The following is a 19,713-nucleotide window of genomic DNA, read 5'->3' on the forward strand; positions in this document are numbered from 1 at the left end:
CTAGTTTTAGTTCTTATGTTGAGGTCTTTGATGTGTTTTGAGTTAATTTTTGCATGTAGTAATGGTCCAACTTTCATTTCATTTGCATGTACATATCCAGTTTCTCCAGCACCATGTTTTGAGACCATCTCACTCTGTCGTCCAGGCTGGAGTGCACTGGCAGTAATCTCAGCTCACTGCAACCTCCACCTTGCAGGTTCAAGTGATTCTCGTGCCTCAGCCACCCGAGTAGCTGGGATTATAGGCATGTGTCACCATGCCCAGCTAATTTTTCTATTTTTAGTAGAGATTGGGTTCGCCATGTTGGCCAGACTGGTCTCAAACTCCTGACCTCAAGTGATCTGCCCACCTCACCCTCCCAAAGTGCTGGGATTATAGGCGTGAGCCACCGCGCCAGCCTCCAGCACCAGGTTTTGAAAAAATTGACTTTCACCATTGAATAGCCTTGGCACCTTATCAAAAATCATTTGACCATGTATGTGAGGATTTCCTTCTGGCTGTCCATTCTTTTCCATTGATATATGTCTGTCTTTAATGCCAATACCACGATGTTTTGATTACTATAGCTTTGTAATTTTTTATTTTTTATTATTTATTTATTTATTTATTATTTTTTTTTTGAGACGGAGTCTCGCTCTGTCGCCCAGGCTGGAGTGCAGTGGCGCTATCTCGGCTCACTGCAAGCTCCACCTTCCGGGTTCACGCCATTCTTCTGCCTCAGCCTCCCGAGTAGCTGGGACTACAGGCGCCCGCCACTGCACCCAGCTAATTTTTTGTATTTTTAGTAGAGACGGGGTTTCACCATGGTCTTGATCTCCTGACCTTGTGATCCGCTTGCCTCGGCCTCCCAAAGTGCTGGGATTACAGGCGTGAGCCACCACGCCTGGCCAAATTTTTAAAAATTTATTATTATTATTATTTTTTGAGACAGAGTCTCACTTTGTTGCCCAGGCCGGAATGCAGTGGTGCAATCTCAGCTCACTGCAACGTTCACCTCCCAGGTTCAAGCGATTGTCCTGCCTCAGTCTCCCGAGTAGCTGGGACTATAGGTGTGCACCATCCCGCCCGACTATGTTTTGTAATTTTAGTATAGATGGGGTTTCACCATGTTGGCCAGGCTGGTCTTGGAACTCCTGACCTCAGGTGATCCGCCTGTCTCGGCCTCCCAAAGTGCTGGGATTACAGGCATGAGCCATTGCGCCCGGCATGTAGTAAGTTTTGAAATCAGGAAGTGTGGGACCTCCAACTTAGTTCTTTTTCAAGATTGTTTTGTCCGTTTGGGGTCTTAGCCCATTTATGCTTAGTGTTTCATTATTGGGTTGCTAAGCTTGTGGGAGTTATTGATATCCTACTGTTCAAGGTCATCACCAAGGTCTGATTTTTCACAGAAAAAAATTTGCAACCTCGGGCATAAATGGGTTAATATAGTTTTTAATGGTAAAGCTTTAGAAGTGTTACCATGAAAATGAAGAACGGAAAAATGTTTTCTATGATTATTATTTCATGTTTTATTCAATGCAGTAAAATGTAAAACAAATGAGGTATAAATTATAGAAAGGAGGATAAAACCTTGTTATTTACAAATGCTATGATTTTATACCTAGACAACTAAATGGAAAGGAACAAACTGGGCCACGCTCAGTGGCTCATGGCTATAATCCCAGCACTTTGGGAGTCTGAGGTGGGCGGATCATTGAAGGCAGGAGTTCCAGACCAGCATGGCCAACATGGTGAAACCCCTTCTCTACTAAAAATACAAAAAAATTAGCCAGGTGTGGTGGTGTGTGCTTGTAATCCCAACTACGTGGGAGGCTGAGGCGGGAGAATTGCTTGAATCTGGGAGGTAGGGGTTGCAGTGAGTTGATATCACATCTTTGCACTCCAGCCTGGGCTACAGAGCGAGACTCCGTCTCCAAAAAAAAAAAAAAAAAAGAAAGAAAGGAAAAGACTGAAAATGATTAAGAAGAACAATTCAGTAAAGTGACTGGCTAAATAAAAACCATGAAAATTAATAATTTCTGTATATCAGCAGTAACATAAAAATAGGAAAAATTGCTTTTAAAATTAAGTAATAAACATGTTTTTATTTTACTCATAACTGTTTTGTTTTGAGACAAGGTCTTGGCTCTGTCACCCAGGCTGGAGTGCAATGTGCAGTGGCGCGATCTTGGCTCACTGCAACCTCTGCTTCTCGGGCTCAAGCGATCTGCCCACCTCAACCTCCAAGTAGCTGGCACCACAGGTGCACACCACCATGCCTCGCTAATTTTTTGTATTTTTGGTAGAGATGGGGTTTCACCATGTTGGCCAGGCTGGTCTCTAACTCCTGAGCTCAAGGGATCCACCCACCTTGGCCTCCCAGTGTGCTGGGATTATAGGAGTGAGCCACTGCTCCCAGCCTGTTTTGAGTTAATTTTTATGTTGATGTGAAGGAAGGGTACAACTTCATTGTTTTGCCTGTGGCTATCTACTCCTGGCACCATTTGCTGAAAAGACTATTCTTTCCCTCGTTGAATTGTGTTGGCACCCTTGTCAAAAATCATTTGACCACAATTATGGATTTATTCCTGGACTCTCAGTTCTATTCCATTGATCTAACCTTATGCTAGTACTGTACTGTCTTGATTACTGTGGCTTTGTTTTTAGGTGATGAAGTATGAGCCTTCCTACTTTTTCAGGATTGGTTCCTAGCAATTCCATATGCATGTTAGAATTTGCCTACCAATTTCTACAAAGAAGTCAGCTGGGGCCGGGTGCGGTGGCTCACATCTTTAATCCCAGCACTTTGGGAGGCGGAGGCGGGTGGATCACCTGAGGTCAGGGGTTCAAGACCAGCCTGGCCAACATGGCAAAACAATAATAAATTATTATTGTTTATAATACAAAATTATTTCTTCCTCTTGATGCTTCTGTGTATGGAATTATTTTCTTCATTTTCAGATTGTTCATTGCAAGTATAAAAAAATGGATTTTTGTCTATCAGTCTTGTATTCTACAACCTTGCTGAACTAGTCAGTTATAAAAGGAAGGCTCCTTGTGGCTGTTTTATGCCCTGGGTCTCTCCTACAAACTAGCCAGTCTACAGTCCAGGCTGTATCTTCATTACATCCAGGAACCTCTTTCCACTTGCCTAGTACCACAACCCCTATTGTTTTTGGGAACACCCTTAGACTGAAACTTGTCACACTCTTGCAAGTGAAGTTAGGTCCTTTGAGATACTCTGTGTTCCTGCTTCTTCCCTTAGGCAAAGTATCTGAGCCAGGGTTCTAGTGGTAAACTAGGTGGGGACAATGGCAAGCTTTTCTGTGAATGCTACCCCAGCTCTAGGAGGGTATGGGGCAGGTCAGCAGCCTGGGGTCCTCTTGGCTTGTCTCTCCAGTTGTGGAACCACTGTCCCATGAGCTGGTGGAAAGGGTCGTTGGATTCCCAGTATTCTCAGTGTGTCATGCCTATGAAAGAGCCCCTTTTCCACAAGTAGGGATTGAGCAGAAGAAGGGAGCCCCTGCCTCTGAGAGTACTTGCCTGAGACAGCCTCAGCAACAGAAAAGTCAGGGGAAGATGAGAAACGCGAAGTCGCATTCTTCCCAGGAATAAAGAGAACCCTCAGGGATGGGCGCGGTGGCTCACAACTGTAATCCCAGCACTTTGGGAGGTCGAGACAGGCGGATCACCTGAGGTCAGGAGATCGAGACCAGCCTGGCCAACATGGTGAAACCCCATCTTTACTAAAAATACAAAAATCAGCCGGGCGTGGTGGTGGGCATCTGTAATCCCAGCTACTCGAGAGTCTGAGGTGGGAGAATCACTTGAACCCAGGAGGCAGAGGTTGCAGTGAGCCGAGATCACGCCATTGCATTCCAGCCGGGGTGACAACAGTGAAACTCTGTCTAAAAAAAAAAAAAAAAAAAAAAAAAAAATCATCAGGCTGCTTCTTCAGTTTTGCTATCCTCTTAGGATTAAAATTTATTTATTTATGATTTTTTTTTTCTTTCAGGGACCACTTAATAGTGAGTCTTCCAACCAGAGCTTGTGTAGCGTCAGATCCTTGAGTGATAAAGGAGTAGAGGTAAGAAGCTATGTTCATGGCAGGACTTTTCATACTTGTACTTTTGGGCCAGGTTTGGTGGCTCAAGGCTATAATCCCAGCACTTTGGGAGGCTGAGGCGGGCAGATAGCTTGAGGCTGGGAGTTGGAGACCAGCCTGGGCAACATAGTGAGAACTCGTTTCTACAAAAAAACTTAGCAGGGCGTGGTGGTGCCACACCTGTGGCCCCAGCTACTTGGAGGTGGGAAGATCGTTTGCACCCAAGAGAATGAGGCTGCAGTGAGCTGTGATGGCACCATTGCACTCCATCCTGGGCGACAGAGTGAGACCCCCATCTCACAGAAAAGATAGCACTGCTTAATTAACTCCCTGGGTGCTGTTAGACTCTGTGTAAATTGCTCCCCTTTGAGTTGTGTGCTCTTTGCATACGTACGGTTATGATGTGGCCCTCACAGGTTTTTATTATAATCATGTGTGGATCTTACATGTCTTAAAATTTTTGCATAGTTGCCATCAGTAAAGGACAGAAATTTGCAATATTGTTCCTGTTTAAATGGAAGATAAAATTGATTGACTGATTTTACTTTTACAACTTTTTTTGAGACATGGCCTCGCTCTGTCATGCAGGCTGGAGTGCAGTGGTGCAATCATAGCTCATTGTAACCTGACACTCCTGAACTCAAGCAGTCCTCCTGTCTCAGCCTCCTGAGTAGCTAGGTGCTACTATGCCTGGCTAATTTTTATAAATATTTTTGGAGGCGGGGCCTCGCTGTGTTGCCCAGGCTGGTCTGGAACTCAAGCCATCCTCCCACCTCAGCCTCCAAAGTGCTGGGATTACAGACATGAGCCACAGTGCCTGGTGAAGATTTTTTGTTCATTTGCTTAACTATTCACAGCCCTCATGCATGAGATTTTTTTTTTTATTTGGCATATAACCTAGCTGCCTGTAGATGGGTCTAAGTGTAAGTCTGTAGCCACCTACTTTGTACTTTGCAGATCTCTCCTTTTTGGAAAAAAGATTGGATTTAAAGTAGAAGTAGTGTAACAGCAGTTTTCTGAGAACTTAACATATGGTGGACATTTGTCCTACATTTGTGCTCTATTAAATATCTTATGAAAGTTTTGTAGCAGCTCTGATTTACAGATGAATAAACTCAAGCTCTGATATTTTAAGCAGTTTGCCAAAAATTATGTGGATGGTTTGATTCTAGACCCTAATACTCTTTGTTTTTTTTTTTGTTTTTTTTAAATTTTTTTTTATTGATCATTCTTGGGTGTTTCTCACAGAGGGGGATTTGGCAGGGTCATAGGACAATAGTGGAGGGAGGGTCAGCAGATAAACAAGTGAACAAAGGTCTCTGGTTTTCCTATGCAGAGGACCCTGCGGCCTTCCGCAGTGTTTGTGTCCCTGGGTACTTGAGATTAGGGAGTGGTGATGACTCTTAACGAGCATGCTGCCTTCAAGCATCTGTTTAACAAAGCACATCTTGCACCACTCTTAATCCATTTAACCCTGAGTGGACACAGCACATGTTTCAGAGAGCACAGGGTTGGGGGTAGGGTCACCGATCAACAGGATCACAAGGCAGAAGAATTTTTCTTAGTACAGAACAAAATGAAAAGTCTCCCGTGTCTACCTCTTTCTACACAGACATGGCAACCACCCGATTTCTCAATCCTTTCCCCGCCTTTCCCCCCTTTCTATTCCACAAAACCGCCATTGTCATCATGGCCCGTTCTCAATGAGCTGTTGGGTACACCTCCCAGACGGGGTGGTGGCTGGGCAGAGGGGCTCCTCACTTCCCAGTAGGGGCAGCCGGGCAGAGGCGCCCCTCACCTCCCGGACCGGGCGGCTGGCCGGGCGGGGGGCTGACCCCCCCACCTCCCTCCTGGACGGGGCGGCTGGCTGGGTGGGGGGCTGACCCCCCCCACCTCCCTCCTGGACGGGGCGGCTGGCCGGGTGGGGGGCTGACCCCCCACCTCCCTCCCGGACTGGGCGGCTGGCCGGGCAGAGGGGCTCCTTACTTCCCAGTAGGGGCGGCCGGGCAGAGGCGCCCCTCACCTCCCGGACGGGGCGGCTGGCCGGGCGGGGAGCTGACCCCCCCACCTCCCTCCCGGACGGGGTGGCTGGCCGGGTGGGGGGCTGACCCCCCCATCTTCCTCCCGGATGGGGCGGCTGGCCGGGCGGGGGGCTGACCCCCCCACCTCCTTCCCGGACGGGGCGGCTGGCCGGGCAGAGGGGATCCTCACTTCCCAGTAGGGGCGGCCGGGCAGAGGCGCCCCTCACCTCCCGGACGGGGTGGCTGGCCGGGCAGGGGGCTGACCCCCCCACCTCCCTCCCAGACGGGGCGGCTGGCCGGGCGGGGGGCTGATCCCCCCACCTCCCTCCCGGATGGGGTGGGTGCCGGGCAGAGACGCTCCTCACTTCCCAGACGGGGTGGCTGCCGGGCGGAGGGGCTCCTCACTTCTCATATGGGGCGGTTGCCAGGCGGAGGGTCTCCTCACTTCTCAGACGGGGTGGCGGCCGGGCAGAGGCTGCAATCTTGGCACTTTGGGAGGCCAAGGCAGGCGGCTGGGAGGTGGAGGTTGTAGCGAGCCGAGATCACGCCACTGCACTCTAGCCTGGGCACCATTGAGCACTGAGTGAACCAGACTCCGTCTGCAATCCCGGCACCTCAGGAGGCCGAGGCTGGCGGATCACTTGCAGTTAGGAGCTGGAGACCAGCCCGGCCAACACAGCGAAACCCCGTCTCCACCAAAAAAATACGAAAACCAGTCAGGCGTGGTGGCGCGCGCCTGCAATCGCAGGCACTCGGCAGGCTGAGGCAGGAGAATCAGGCAGGGAGGCTGCAGTGAGCCGAGATGGCAGCAGTACAGTCCAGCTTTGGCTCGGCATCAGTGGGAGACCGTGGAAAGAGAGGGAGAGGGAGACCGTGGGGAGAGGGAGAGGGGGGAGAGGGAGAGGGAGAGGGAGAAGGGGGAGAGGGAGAGGGAGAGGGAGAGCTAAAGGCCAGTTCTTGTGGGGAGTCAATACTCTTTGTTATACTCAGTTTTAAGAGGAAGACAGTGATTCAGGAGTTGTCTGGGCCAGTTATATCTGTTTATATATTCAATATTTTGTGTATACTCACTGCTTTTCCTAACGTGAAAAATTTACCAAAATGCTAATTGTGACTTATAAGGTATTTAACAGACTCCCGACAAAAAGCAGAATGATCAGCGAAATCGGAAAAGAAAAGCTGAACCATATGAAACTAGCCAAGGTAGTAATAATTTCGTATCAACAAAAGTACTCAATTCTAATGTACTTAGATAGAATTTTCTAACTCATACTAAATAATTAGTTTGTACACAGGGATTCCTGATAAAGGAGGTTTGTGTATCTTAAGGGAATATCAGACTGTTTATTACAGACTTGCCATTTGATATATACCTGACAAAACAGTGTTAGTTCTTCGGGGACTCTTTGTTTTCCCTGTTGTAAGCTAACAATCTTCTTAACCACAGGTTTTTCTTTACACCAAGCATATATTGTACAAATAGAGGTTATGTCAGAGTTTTAACTCTGTCTTTTGTTAGATCAGTGATTTGTTAATGACAGCCGGCTGAAAGTGCTTCATTTACATTACTGTCCTTTCTGCCTACTGCTCTTCCATGGCAGTTGTTTAGTTGAATATTGGAACCCACTGGGATAAATCTGTAAACATGATGGTTATAATGCCAAATATCTTTATATAATCAAAGAAAGAAAAAATGGCTTGGCTTTTTTTCTCCCATTCTAAGGAATAGAAAGCCCAGTCTTGTTGCATCCTTCTTATCTTTTAAAATCTACAGATAATTCATTTTGTCTTTGGGAGCAAAATTCTCCCAAAGTGACAAGAAAAATTACAGAATCTTAAACCTGTGAAAAATTCTTCCTTTCACTGCTTGTTCAGTCCTTTATTTTATGGAGGAAATAGTCTGTTCTTAGGCTAAGGTATTTTGGCTCATTTGTTACAAGTAAAGCTGACACTTGGGTTTATAGCAATGTATGTAGTTACTGAATGTATAGTACATTTTAGTGAATGATGGTTTATATGTGTATTGGAAAAACTGTATTTACTTTGGTTTCATTTTCAGGGAAAGGCACTCCTAGGGGACATAAAATTAGTGATTACTTTGAGGTAAGTTACATTTTTTGAAAAAACAAACAAAAAAACAAAACAAAACAAAAAAACTCTATAGTGATTTTTTTTAAAAACCCTAAATCCTTGTGTTCATTTGAGGCTTTAGAAAGTAATATTTTGGCCAGGCAAGGTGGCTTATGCTTGTAATCCCAGCACTTTGGGAGGCCGAGATGGGAGGATCGCTTGAACCCAGGAGTTCGAGACCAACCTGGGCAACATGGGGAAACCCTGTCTCTACAAAAAACAGAAAAAATTAGCCAGGTGTGGTGGCACACACTTATAGTCCTGGCTACTTGGGAGGCTGAGGTGGGAGGATCACTTGAGCTTGAGAAGTCGAGGCTGCAGTGAGCCATGATCTACTGCACTCCAGCCTGGGTGACAGTGAGACCCTGTCTCCAAAAAAAAGAAAAAAAGAAAGAAAGAAAGTAATGTTTTGCCTTTACTGTACTCTTCTTCCCTTTCTCCCCATCTTCATCAGTTAATGCTGCCCCATCTCTCAATAAGAGAAAACTGCTGCTGCCTTCCTAAATTTAAATTTATTATGTGTCTTGTCTGTGATGATATAAGAATTCACAAATGAGGTGATTTTTCTCTTGGCCAGACGAGGTTTTGTGTCTTACAAAGATTGAGGTGGAATGACTTGGACTCTTCTTTTATCCTCCTCCCTTTAGTCCAGTGGAACATGTAGTGAGTTCCCTGACCCATCGTTAGTGGTTACTAAAGACACTAACATCCACTGCACTACTGCATTTCTGCTTTGTGTATTTTGAGACAAGAAGGGAAAACATTCTTCTCTCATGTCCTTTCAAAATCATGTATACCTTCAGCTTTCTAGCCATGTTTTCTTTATATCTTGGTATATTTCTGCTGGAGCTCCTTCTTAAAAATCTCATTAAAAATTAGCAGAATTTGACTTGTGTGGCATTTTCTCTCTAGAGTAAGATGTGTTAACTTAAAGGGGCCATATAATTAAGATCTGTTTGTGTATTAATCTTTTACTCTCCTTATCTGAAGCATAGTACTGTTTTGAATTATTCATATCTGTTTTTCCCTGTTGGCCAGTTTGCTGGGGGAAGCGGGCCAGGAACCAGCCCTGGCAGAAGTGTTCCACCAGTTGCACGATCCTCACCGCAACATTCCTTATCCAATCCCTTACCGGTAAGCATTCACCTGGAGAAATTTGACACCTGTTGTAGGAGACAAGATGCCCAGAAACACTCAAGCAAAGTTTCTCTTTCATTAATTACCCACAGGGAATGAAGCATTAGGGAGAAAAGTTCATAGTTTTACCTATGAATCCCTTACTTTGATTCAAATCTGTTATCAGTAAATTAGCTTTTTACAGAAGAGCCAATCCTATTATCTCTATATAATAAATTACCTCTAATCCTACAGCTTAGTAGTCTATCAAAGAATTGATTCCAATCGAAACATTAGGTTTTTTCCCTTGCCAAATTTGTATGTTCCTGTAGGGTTTATTTTTATTTTAAAATTTGACCAGCTTCTGGCATAATTGAGTTATCTCCAGAGCTTACTCAGTAATGTACTAGAAAAACTAATGCTATACAGATTTGTGATAGGTATGTTTCCAGCCTGTAAGAGAGATCTGAAGGTCTTAAAAACATTATACCTAAGTAAATGGTTCTCAGTTGGTGGCAGTTTTGCCCCTCAGGGACATTTGTCAATAACTGGAGTCATTATTGGTTGTCACTGCTCGGAGTTATGGGGATGACACTATAGGCATCTACTGGGCAGAAGTCAGGGATGCTGGTAAACATTCTGTAATGTTAGGACAGCCTCCCTGCAAAAAAGAATTACCTGGTCCAAAATATCAGTGGTGCCAAGGTTGAGAATTCCTGAGTAAGCTAACGTAGGATTATGTTTATTTGCTCCAGTGTCTTCGCATTATTTGTTGATACTGTGTAAGACCTCTTACTCAAGAGTGTGCTCTATCCCCTAATGCCTTAGGTATTGCCTCTGGGATCTTGGGAGACAGGGTCTCTGGGACAGAAGTTTTTATTTTAGGTCACTGATTTTTAGGAAAGTTGTTTTTCTTTGCCTTGGTAGAGTTGTGTAATAGTACTCATTTCCTAAGCGATTTAGGCTTCTGTATTGTTAAAGTATTTTAAAATGTACTTTCTCCCCCTCTACTGTCTCGTAAAAACCTTCATTAGGATTATTGTGATTATTAAAGCACTTATGAAAACATAAGTTAAACTTACGAAAACAACTAAGAAGTTTTGGCTATTACTGTGCCATCCTTGCCATATATATATAATTTTTTTTTTTTTTTTTGAGACAGTCTTGCTGTGTCACTCAGGCTAGAGTGCAGTGGTACGATCATGACTCACTGCAACCTCTGCCTCCTAGGCTCAAGTGATTCTCCCAAATCAGCTTCCTGAGTAGCTCATACTACAGGCATGTACCACTACGCCCGGCTAATTTTTGTATTTTTTTGTAGAGGCGTGGTTTCACCATATTGCCCAGGCTGGTCTCAAACTCCTGAGATCATGTGGTCTGCCTGCCTCCACCTCCCAAAGTGTTGAGATTACAGGCATTAGCCATTGTGTCAGACCATCCTTGGCCATAGTTTAAAATGTTAGAAATGTTTGATGATAGATCCAATTTGGGCAGGTTGAGGTTTGTTAGTTAACTGTTGAAGAGGCCTGTATCTCTGTTTTTCTTAAGTTTCAAACCAATTAAAGTCTAAAAGATATTAAATGAGATTGCAGATTATCTATTTGGGACAGATACGTTTTGTAGAATTTCTCGGTGTTGTCTATCACTCTTTTCTTCCTGAAATGCCTTTTTCATTTGGTTTTTAATGGTGTGACCACCCATCTCTCATGTGTCAGTTTAGGTTGAATCTTACCTGAAGACAAAAGAGATAAACTCAATGATCTGTAGACATTTTTGCCAGCTATATGAATGTGGCTGAGCCTCATCATCATGCAAATCCGAGTATAGATGAGGTGTTAAAATAGAAACCAAAGCTTAATCCTCCACCTTTTCCTTGCCTGCCTCTAGGCAACTCAGCATGGTTGGAGGAAAACACATACACCAAGGTGACTGACTGATCTGGTCATGAGCACTGGCCTCATGTGTACCTCTCACTGCCTGCCAGTCCTACTGTATTTCTACTTAGTTCCCTTTCCTCCATGAATATGTCCTATTTTTGTCATCTCCTGCAAACCTCCAGCAATTCTTCTGCTAACTGATGGCCTTCCTTTTTTATGTTACTGAGAAAATAGAAACAATCAGAAGAGCATTTCCACATGCTCCTACTGCAGATTTGCCAAGCTCCTTGCATCAGTACCCACATCCATCTGCCTTTGAGATGAATGAACTTGCTAGCCCTTCACATGGGTCTGGTCTCCCCAATAATTATGTATCCAGCTGTCTACTTGACATTTCCACTTGTACTGCTTGAGCGTGTCCAAAAAGGAACTCTTGCTTTCCCTTCCCTACCATAACAATAACATTGAACTGCTCTTCCTGTAATCTGCCTTGTCCTGGTAAATGACAGGTTACACCATCTGGTTTTTCAGGTCACAGCCTCATGCCCCAAATGTAATCCATGAGAAAATCCTGTTTTTCCTTTAAAGTGTATTAGAATATGACCACTTTTCTATTTTTCCAGTTCACTGCATTAGCTTTCAAAGTAGTCTCCTTGTTTTTGCCCTTGTTTCACCTAGTCTTAATGTAATAGCCCGAGTAATTGTTAAAATGTTCAGATACATCCCGGCACTCCTCTGCTCAACACTTCCTAGACTGAAGTCTTTATGTGACCTAAAAGCTCCTGCGTGATCTGTGCTCCCCATCGTCCACCTGATTCTGACATCTGCAGCCATTCTCCCTCTTCTTCATGCCACTGCAGCCACACTGGCCTCCTTGAGCTCTGTGAAAAATGCTTTTGCTATAGGGTCTTTGTACTTGTTATTCCCTCTTCCAGGAACATTCTTTTCTCAGATATCAGCAATCTCTTCATCAGGTTGTTGCTCAAAAATGACCTTAGCCAAGCGGTCTCCCTTAGCCAACTTCTCTAAAATAGCAGTCCCTCATACCTTGTCAATTTGTTCCTAACTGTACTTTATTTTAATTCTAAGTTATTGGCACCTGACACACCCATGTACATACATTTTAATATATATTTAAATTTTTTTGTTGATTCATATTTATACATACAGAAGAGTACACATTGTAAGTCTACAGTTCACATGAATTTTCACAAACTCTACAAGCACAAGAAATATTACCAGTGCTGCAGAAGTCCCCCTGAGTTCCCTTTCAGTTACTAACCCCCTCCCTGCCGCTGTGGATAGCCACTAGCCTGACCTCTAACAACACAGATGAATTTTTTTTTGTATCTTGTGTAAAAGACATTCAGTGTATACTCTTGTGTCTAGCTCCTTTTGTTGCACATTACTTTTGTGAGGTTTATCCATTTCATTGTGTATTTTGTAGGTCATTTATTTTCATTGGTGTGTTATAAGTTTAATTTTCATTTAATAATTTATATATTTTAATTTTGAACTATATAATTAGTTAATTGCCCATCTTCCGACTAGATTTTTTTTTTTTTTTTTGAGACGGAGTTTCGCTTTTGTTGCCCAGGCTGGAGTGCAGTGGTGCGATCTTGGTTCACTGCAACCTCCGCCTTTCAGTTGCAAGCGATTCTCCTGCCTCAGCCTCCCGAGTAGCTGGGGACTACAGACAGACGCCACCAAGCCCAGCTAATTTTTGTATTTTTAGTAGAGACGGGGTTTCACCATGTTGGCCAGGATGGTCTCGATCTCTTGACCTCGTGATCTGCCCACCTCGGCCTCCCAAAGTGTTGGGATTACAGGCATGAGTCACCGCGCCCAGCCTAGAATGTTAATCTCATAAGAATGGGGATTTTGCTTTGCTTTGTTTACTGCTGTCTCTTGTTACATAAAGGTGTAATTTTTAAACTAATTTCCCCCACTTGACATGTAAGCAATAATGTCTTATTTCATTTTCAGTCTCCAGCATCCAGAACAGTACTTGGGACACAATAGGTGTTCAAAATTGTGCTGACAGGGAAGAATAGATGGATAAAAAGTTGTTTTCACCTTTTTTCCTATAAAAGATTATTTTGTATTTGTGTTAAATATAAAAAATAAAGTATGTAAAACATGAAAGTTTTCATGCAGGAGTTGGCAAAAGACAGGTCACAGCTGGCAAGCTAGGAATGATTTTTATTTTTTTAAATTGATTTCATTTTAATTTATTTTATTTTTGGAGACAATATAATAAGTCTCACTCTATCCCCCAGGCTGGAGTGCAGTGGTGCAATCTTGGCTCACTGCAACCTCAGCCTCCCTGGTTCAGGCGATTCTCCTGCCTCAGCCTCCCAAGTAGCTGGGATTACAGGTGTGCACCACCATGCCTGGCTAATTTTTGTGTTTTTAGTAGAGACGAGGTTTCGCCATGTTGGCCAGGCTGGCCTCTAACTCCTGACTTCAAGTAATCCACCCGTGTCAGCCTCCCAAAGTGCTGGAATTACAGGCGTGAGCCACGGCGCCTGGCAAGCTCGGAATGATTTTTAGATTTTTAAAAGGTTTTAGAAACGAAGGATATATGACAGAGACTGATGTGGCCTGCAAAACCTAAAATATTTCTATCTGGTCCTTCACAAAAAAGCTCCCAGAAAATCACTATAAAGTTAACTCTATATAATTGTTACATAGGAAGGTAGACTATTTCCAGCAGCTGGAAACCTACATGCTGTTCCCTGATCACAACTCCCACTACCCTAGAAGTGATCACTTGGCTAGTTTTTGTGGTAATCATTTTCGTTTTCATGTAGTTTAAACTATCCATGTATGAATCCATAAACAAAATAGTTTAGTTTTGCCAGTAGGTAAACTCAGTGTTTAAATCTTAGGTATTTTTATTTTTGGCTGTTCTATCAATTATTAAGAGCGGTGTGTATATTCGTATTTCTTGCTGTGATTGTGGGAGTTGGCTGTTTCTTCTTATATTTATATTAAATTTTGTTTTATGTATTATGACTCTTCATCTCTTTAAAGCTCTTTGCTTTATTTTTTAATTTTAATTTTTATTTTTGAGACAGGTTCTCGCTCTGTTGCCCAGGCTGGAATTCAGTGCACGATCTCGGGTCACTACAACCTCCGCCTCCTGGGTTCAAGTGATTCTTGTGCCTAAGCCTCCCAAATACCTGGGATTACAAGCATGCATCACCATGCCTAGATAATCTTTTTGTATTTTTAGTTGGGTTTTCTCCATGTTGGCCAGGCTGGTCTGGAACTCCTGGCCTCAAGTGATCTGCCTGCCTTGGCCTCCCAAAGTATTGGGATTACAGGTGTGAGCCCCCGAGCCTGGCTGAAGCCCTTTGCTTTAAATGTGGTTTATCTGATATTTAATATATCCAAACCATTGTGAGGTATAACTATTTCCATTCTTAATACTGTCAAATTTGCATTGTTATGTTTTCTATCTTTGGCAAATACCATATAATTAGATTTTTTTCTCTTAAGTCTAAAATTTTTTATTATCCTATTTACATTCAATATAATTACCACTACATTCAGTTTAGATATATCATTGTTTAATGTGTTTTTTATTTATCCTGCCTGTTCTGTGTTCCTTTTTCTTTAATTTCTTGCTTTCGTTTAGATTGAATTTTTTTTTTTAAGTCATTTTCTATTTTCCTCCTCTGCTAGTAGCTAGGCTGTCTTTGGTGTTTCTTTTAGAAAGTACCACATACGGCCAGGCGTGGTGTCTCACACCTGTAATCCTAGCACTTTGGGAGACCTGGGGACCCACATGTGAGGATTACTCGAGCTCAGGAGTTCGAGACCAGCCTAAGCAATATAGTGAGATACCTGTCTGTACAAGGCAGGCAAATCATGAGGTCAGGAGTTCGAGACCAGCCTGGCCAACGTGGTGAAACCCTGTCTCTACTAAAAATACAAAAACTTAGCTGGGCTTGGTGGCAGGTGCCTGTAATCCCTGCCACTCAGGAGGCTGAGGCAGGAGAATCTCTTGAACCCAGGAGTCAGAGGTTGCAGCGAACCGAGATCGCACCACTGCACTCTAGCCTGGGTGACAGTGCGAGACTCCGTCTCAGAAACAAACAAACAAACAAAAAACAGCATTTAAAAATTAGCCAGGCTTGGTGGCATGCACCTTGTAGTCCCAGCTACTCAGGTGGCTGAGGCGAGAGGATTCCTTGAGCCTAGGAGGTTGAGGCTGGAGCGAGCCATGATCACACCACTGCGCTCCATCCTGGAGCATAGAGTGAGACCCTGTCTCAAAACCCCCAGAAAAGAAAAAATAAAAATAAATTACCACATGCCAAAATTTGAAGTCAGTTGTTTCTTCATCCTCTACCAAATAAAATCATGTCCCCAGAACACTGTTTACTCTGCTACTGATTTGGTGGTAGTGGTGTATGTTTTTATTTTGCCTTTTTTTGGTCTCATAAAATATTATTGTTCAGTGCTATCAGTGTTCGTTTAGGTTTATCTGTATATTTACCTCTTTGTACTTCTTTCCTTTTTGCATCCTACACCTTCCACCTGGGGTCACTTTCCTTCTGCCTAAGTATTCCTTTAGTATTCTTCTAGAATATATCTGCTAGGGATTAACTCTCTAGGTTTTTGTTTACTGAAATAACTTTATTTTGCTCTTATTCCTGAAAGGTATTTTTGGCTGTGTATATTTTTAGGTTCACTTTCTTTTTTTTTTTCTTTTAACACAATTGAGCAGTAATTCATTACCATGTTCTAACCCTCCATTGTTACTATTAAGAAATCAGCTGTCATTTACCTGTTGTTTCTTTGAAGGTATCTGCTTTTTTTCCCCTGGCTGCTTTAAAAGTCTTTAGCTATGGTGTTCTGTAGTTTTATGATGATGTGTCATTTCATTTCTCTTGCTTGTGATTTCTTGGACTTCTGAAATTTGTGGGTTGGTGTCTTTCATCAGTTCTGAATAATTAGCCATTGTCTCTTTGAATATTATCTCTGACTTGTTCTTTTTTTCCTTCTCTTATGAAATTCTAATTAACCATACATTATACTTCCTAATTTTATTACCATGGCTTTTGACTTCTTTTTTTGTATTTTTGTTCTTCTTGTCTTTATATACTCCATCATGGATAATTTCTTCTTGCCTTTCAGTTCCCAGATCCTGTTTTATTGTTTCTAATTTGCTATTAGCCCTAATGAATTGGTTACTACCTTTTGAAGAAAAAGAATTACATTTCCTGCAGATATTTTCAAGCCTGTCTTTTATTTTTTAAAATATGGTAGACACAATTATTTTATAATCTGTTTGATAATTCTAGCATCTGAAGCTTTTATGAATCTGTTTCTGGTGTCTCTTGTTTTTCTTAGTTGTTGTTCATGGCTTTATTTCTTTTATGCTTTGTTTTTTAACTGTGTACTCCTCATTGTTCTTGAAAAATTTTTGGGGGGGTTTCTTCAAGATCTAGGATGAATGAAGATGTGTTACTCCAGGGAAAATTTTTATTTGCTCCTTCCGAGTACCTAGAGATTTTACCTCTTTTATATACCACTTTAGTGAATTTATGGCTTATATTTAGTTTGTTTATTTTGTTTGCTTATTTCAACTACTAGGAAAATTGATTTGGATTGTGTCAACATTTCTCAAGAGAACCCCCAACTCTTACACTGCCAAGGCAACTTCCTGGCAGCCATCTGAGGGTGGGGGTAATTTTTGTTCTGGTTTACCCTTTCCTTGAGAATGTAGGTAGCTCTGGAGGCCCAGCTTGAAGTGGGAAGGGTTTCCTATTGAACCCTCTCCCTTGGGTGGGCTTTGGTCTGTGACTATCTGCTTGATACCATGTTGCCCTGAAAATGGAAATTCAAGATCTGCAGGTGCCCTTAGGCCATATGTGGCTTTGGTGCTTCTTTTACCTGTCTTATGTTCCTAATTTCCCTTAGATTTTGCCGTGGCAGATCCCTAATACTTTATCAACTCTTCAGTGCTTTTAATGTTTTTTTTTTGTTGTTGTTGTTCGCCCATATTTTATCCTATCTGTATAGTCCCCCCCCCAGGGAGAGGTTGGTTCAAACAGGAAAGGCTATAGCCTACATAGGATATTTACAGAAATGTTTTTAAAATCTTTCAATCCTTGGCAGGTATTTATTGAATATATGGCAGAAGGTTTAATTTTACTGTTGCAGCTCATTCTCCCATGCAGTGAGAATGTTGTCATCAATGAGTATCACAGGTGTTCTGGAGCCTGGGTTTAAACTGTTACATTTGCTGGGGTAGGACTCTACTCATAGATTCAAAACCTAATTTCTTTGTCAGGATCATTTTACTTTTTTTTTTTGACATGAAAACGTTAAAGAACTATTCCTGATTAAGGAAAATTATTTCCTTTATTCATGCGGATTATGAAAGTTCAACAATTCAGAAATGGTGAAATAAAAAATTCCCTCCAAAAGAACTGTTATTAGGGAGTATGGTGGGCAAATATTTCTAGACTTTTTGAGATATACATGTATGTTTATATAATAGGTTTTCTTATTTCCATTGTATTAGATTATTTAACCAGTATCTTGTAAGCATTTGTATTCTATAAATAGTGCTGTAATGAACATCCTTATACATACTTACTAACTTATGCATTTTTCCCAGATAAACCCCCTAATTATAATTCCCAGGTCAGAATATGATCATTTAAAAATGTCATCACATAAATTGCTAGAAGGTTATTAGCAGTTTGAGAGTACCAATTTTTTCACACCCTGCTAATACTGAATTTTATCATTGTAACCTTTGGCATAAAGAAAAATACCTTGTTTTAACTTGCGTTTGTTCATTAGTTATATATATTAAACATCATATGTTTAATGGCCTTTTGGATTTCTCTTTTAATGCTTGTTCAGGTCCTTTGCATATGTCTCTTTTGAAATACTTGTGTGTTTTGGTTTTTGTTTTACTGTTAGGTAAAGCATTATTTATTAAGATTTAATAAATTATTTATATTATTAATTTGTTATATTGTAAATATTTTTGCTTGTTTGTAATCTTGTCTTTTAACTTTATCTTGACTTTTACCATTCAGATATAAAAAAATTGAAGTAGTTAAATTTATCAGTGTTTTTCCTTTATGACTTATGGGATTTGTCTTATTCTTAGATGTTCCCATATGGTGTATTCCTATATGGGGTGGGTGTGTGTGTGTGTGTGTGTGTGTGTGTGTGTGTGTGTTTGTGTAATTTTTTTTTGAGACAGGATCTTGCTGTGTAGCCCAGGCTGGAGTGCAGTGATGTGATCTTGGTTCACTGCCAGCCTCTGCCTCCCGGGTTCAAGTGATTCTCATGCCTCAGCTTCCCGAGTAGCTGGGACTACAGGCATGTGCCACCATGCCCAGCTAATTTTTGTATTTTTAGTAGAGACAGGGTTTTGCCACGTTGGCCAGGCTGGTCTCAAACTCCTGACCTCAAGTGATTTGCCCATCACGGCCTCCCAAAGTGCTGGGATTACAGGCATGAGCCACTGTGCCCCGCCCATGGTTTATATTTTTAATGTCATGTTTAAAAAGTCCTTTACCACTGGAAAATTCTAAAAGCATTTGTTTATTTTTTCTTCTTGTAATTTTTTATATGTAATAAAAGGTAGGAATCTACTTTTCCCTTTTTTTCTAATATCTGCACAAATGTCCTACCATCTTTTTAATAAGTTCCCGCTAATATGAAATGCACATTAATCACAACTTATGTATCTATATTATATAGATCTGTTTCTGAATTCTGTATTCTGTGCCACTGGTCAATCTGTCTGCTTCTGTATCTGTATGATACTGTTTTAGTTAATGTAACATTGTAGTATGTTTCAATATCTGGTCAAGTTTCCCTGATACTTTTTCTGAAAAATTATGTGGCTGATTATGATTATTTTTTTAAGTGAACCTTAGAATTTATTGTGAAATTCTCCGAAAACAACTGCCCAAGAAAGCATGAGAGAGAACCTAGATGACCACTATACCACCATAAGACTATCCCTTGGAAGAGAAAAAGGCCAAACACAAAATTAAAAACATTAAACTTGGGTTTTAGAGAAATTTGATGTTTGTAGAATCTGAACCCAGGAACATGATATTACCGTTTAACTTAGATCATCTTTTATATTCATCTGTGAAGCTGTATAGTTTTTCTTCATAGGTGTTCTGCATGTTTCTTAAGTTTGCTTTCAAGTATTTTACAGATTTTTGTTTGCTACTTTGAATCTGCTTTTCCTTCTGCTACATGCTCTGATTAAAATCAGTTGGGGAAGCTATCAATTTTAGTGTATTTATTTTGTATTTGGCCATCTTACTGAACTCCTTTTAATTGTTATAGTAATTTTTCCATTGATTTGCTTGGTTTCCTTTGTGAATGGTTATATCATCCAAAAATGACACTAAAAATCTTTAATTTGTAATATTTTTACGTCTTTTTTTTCTTTTTTACATTGGCTGAAACTTTCATAATAACGTTTAAT

The 19,713-nt window shown here is 41.7% G+C and overlaps 3 annotated features.

Annotated features, from left to right (window-relative positions):
- Window positions 5,108-5,785: an enhancer, noted in NCBI's record as "NANOG-H3K27ac-H3K4me1 hESC enhancer chr7:128215887-128216564 (GRCh37/hg19 assembly coordinates)". NCBI's record gives its function as "activates a minimal SCP1, AML or CMV promoter by ChIP-STARR-seq in naive H9 embryonic stem cells {active_cell/tissue: H9 hESC(naive)}" and the evidence as "EXISTENCE:reporter gene assay evidence [ECO:0000049][PMID:30033119]".
- Window positions 5,786-6,463: an enhancer, noted in NCBI's record as "NANOG-H3K27ac-H3K4me1 hESC enhancer chr7:128216565-128217242 (GRCh37/hg19 assembly coordinates)". NCBI's record gives its function as "activates a minimal SCP1, AML or CMV promoter by ChIP-STARR-seq in naive H9 embryonic stem cells {active_cell/tissue: H9 hESC(naive)}" and the evidence as "EXISTENCE:reporter gene assay evidence [ECO:0000049][PMID:30033119]".
- Window positions 10,477-10,677: a silencer, noted in NCBI's record as "peak6716 fragment used in MPRA reporter construct". NCBI's record gives its function as "represses an SCP1 promoter by STARR-seq MPRAs in K562 erythroleukemia cells {active_cell/tissue: K562}" and the evidence as "EXISTENCE:reporter gene assay evidence [ECO:0000049][PMID:32103011]".

The sequence above is a fragment of the Homo sapiens genome, chromosome 7 (assembly GCF_000001405.40).
Source record: "Homo sapiens chromosome 7, GRCh38.p14 Primary Assembly".
NCBI lineage: Eukaryota > Metazoa > Chordata > Mammalia > Primates > Hominidae > Homo > Homo sapiens.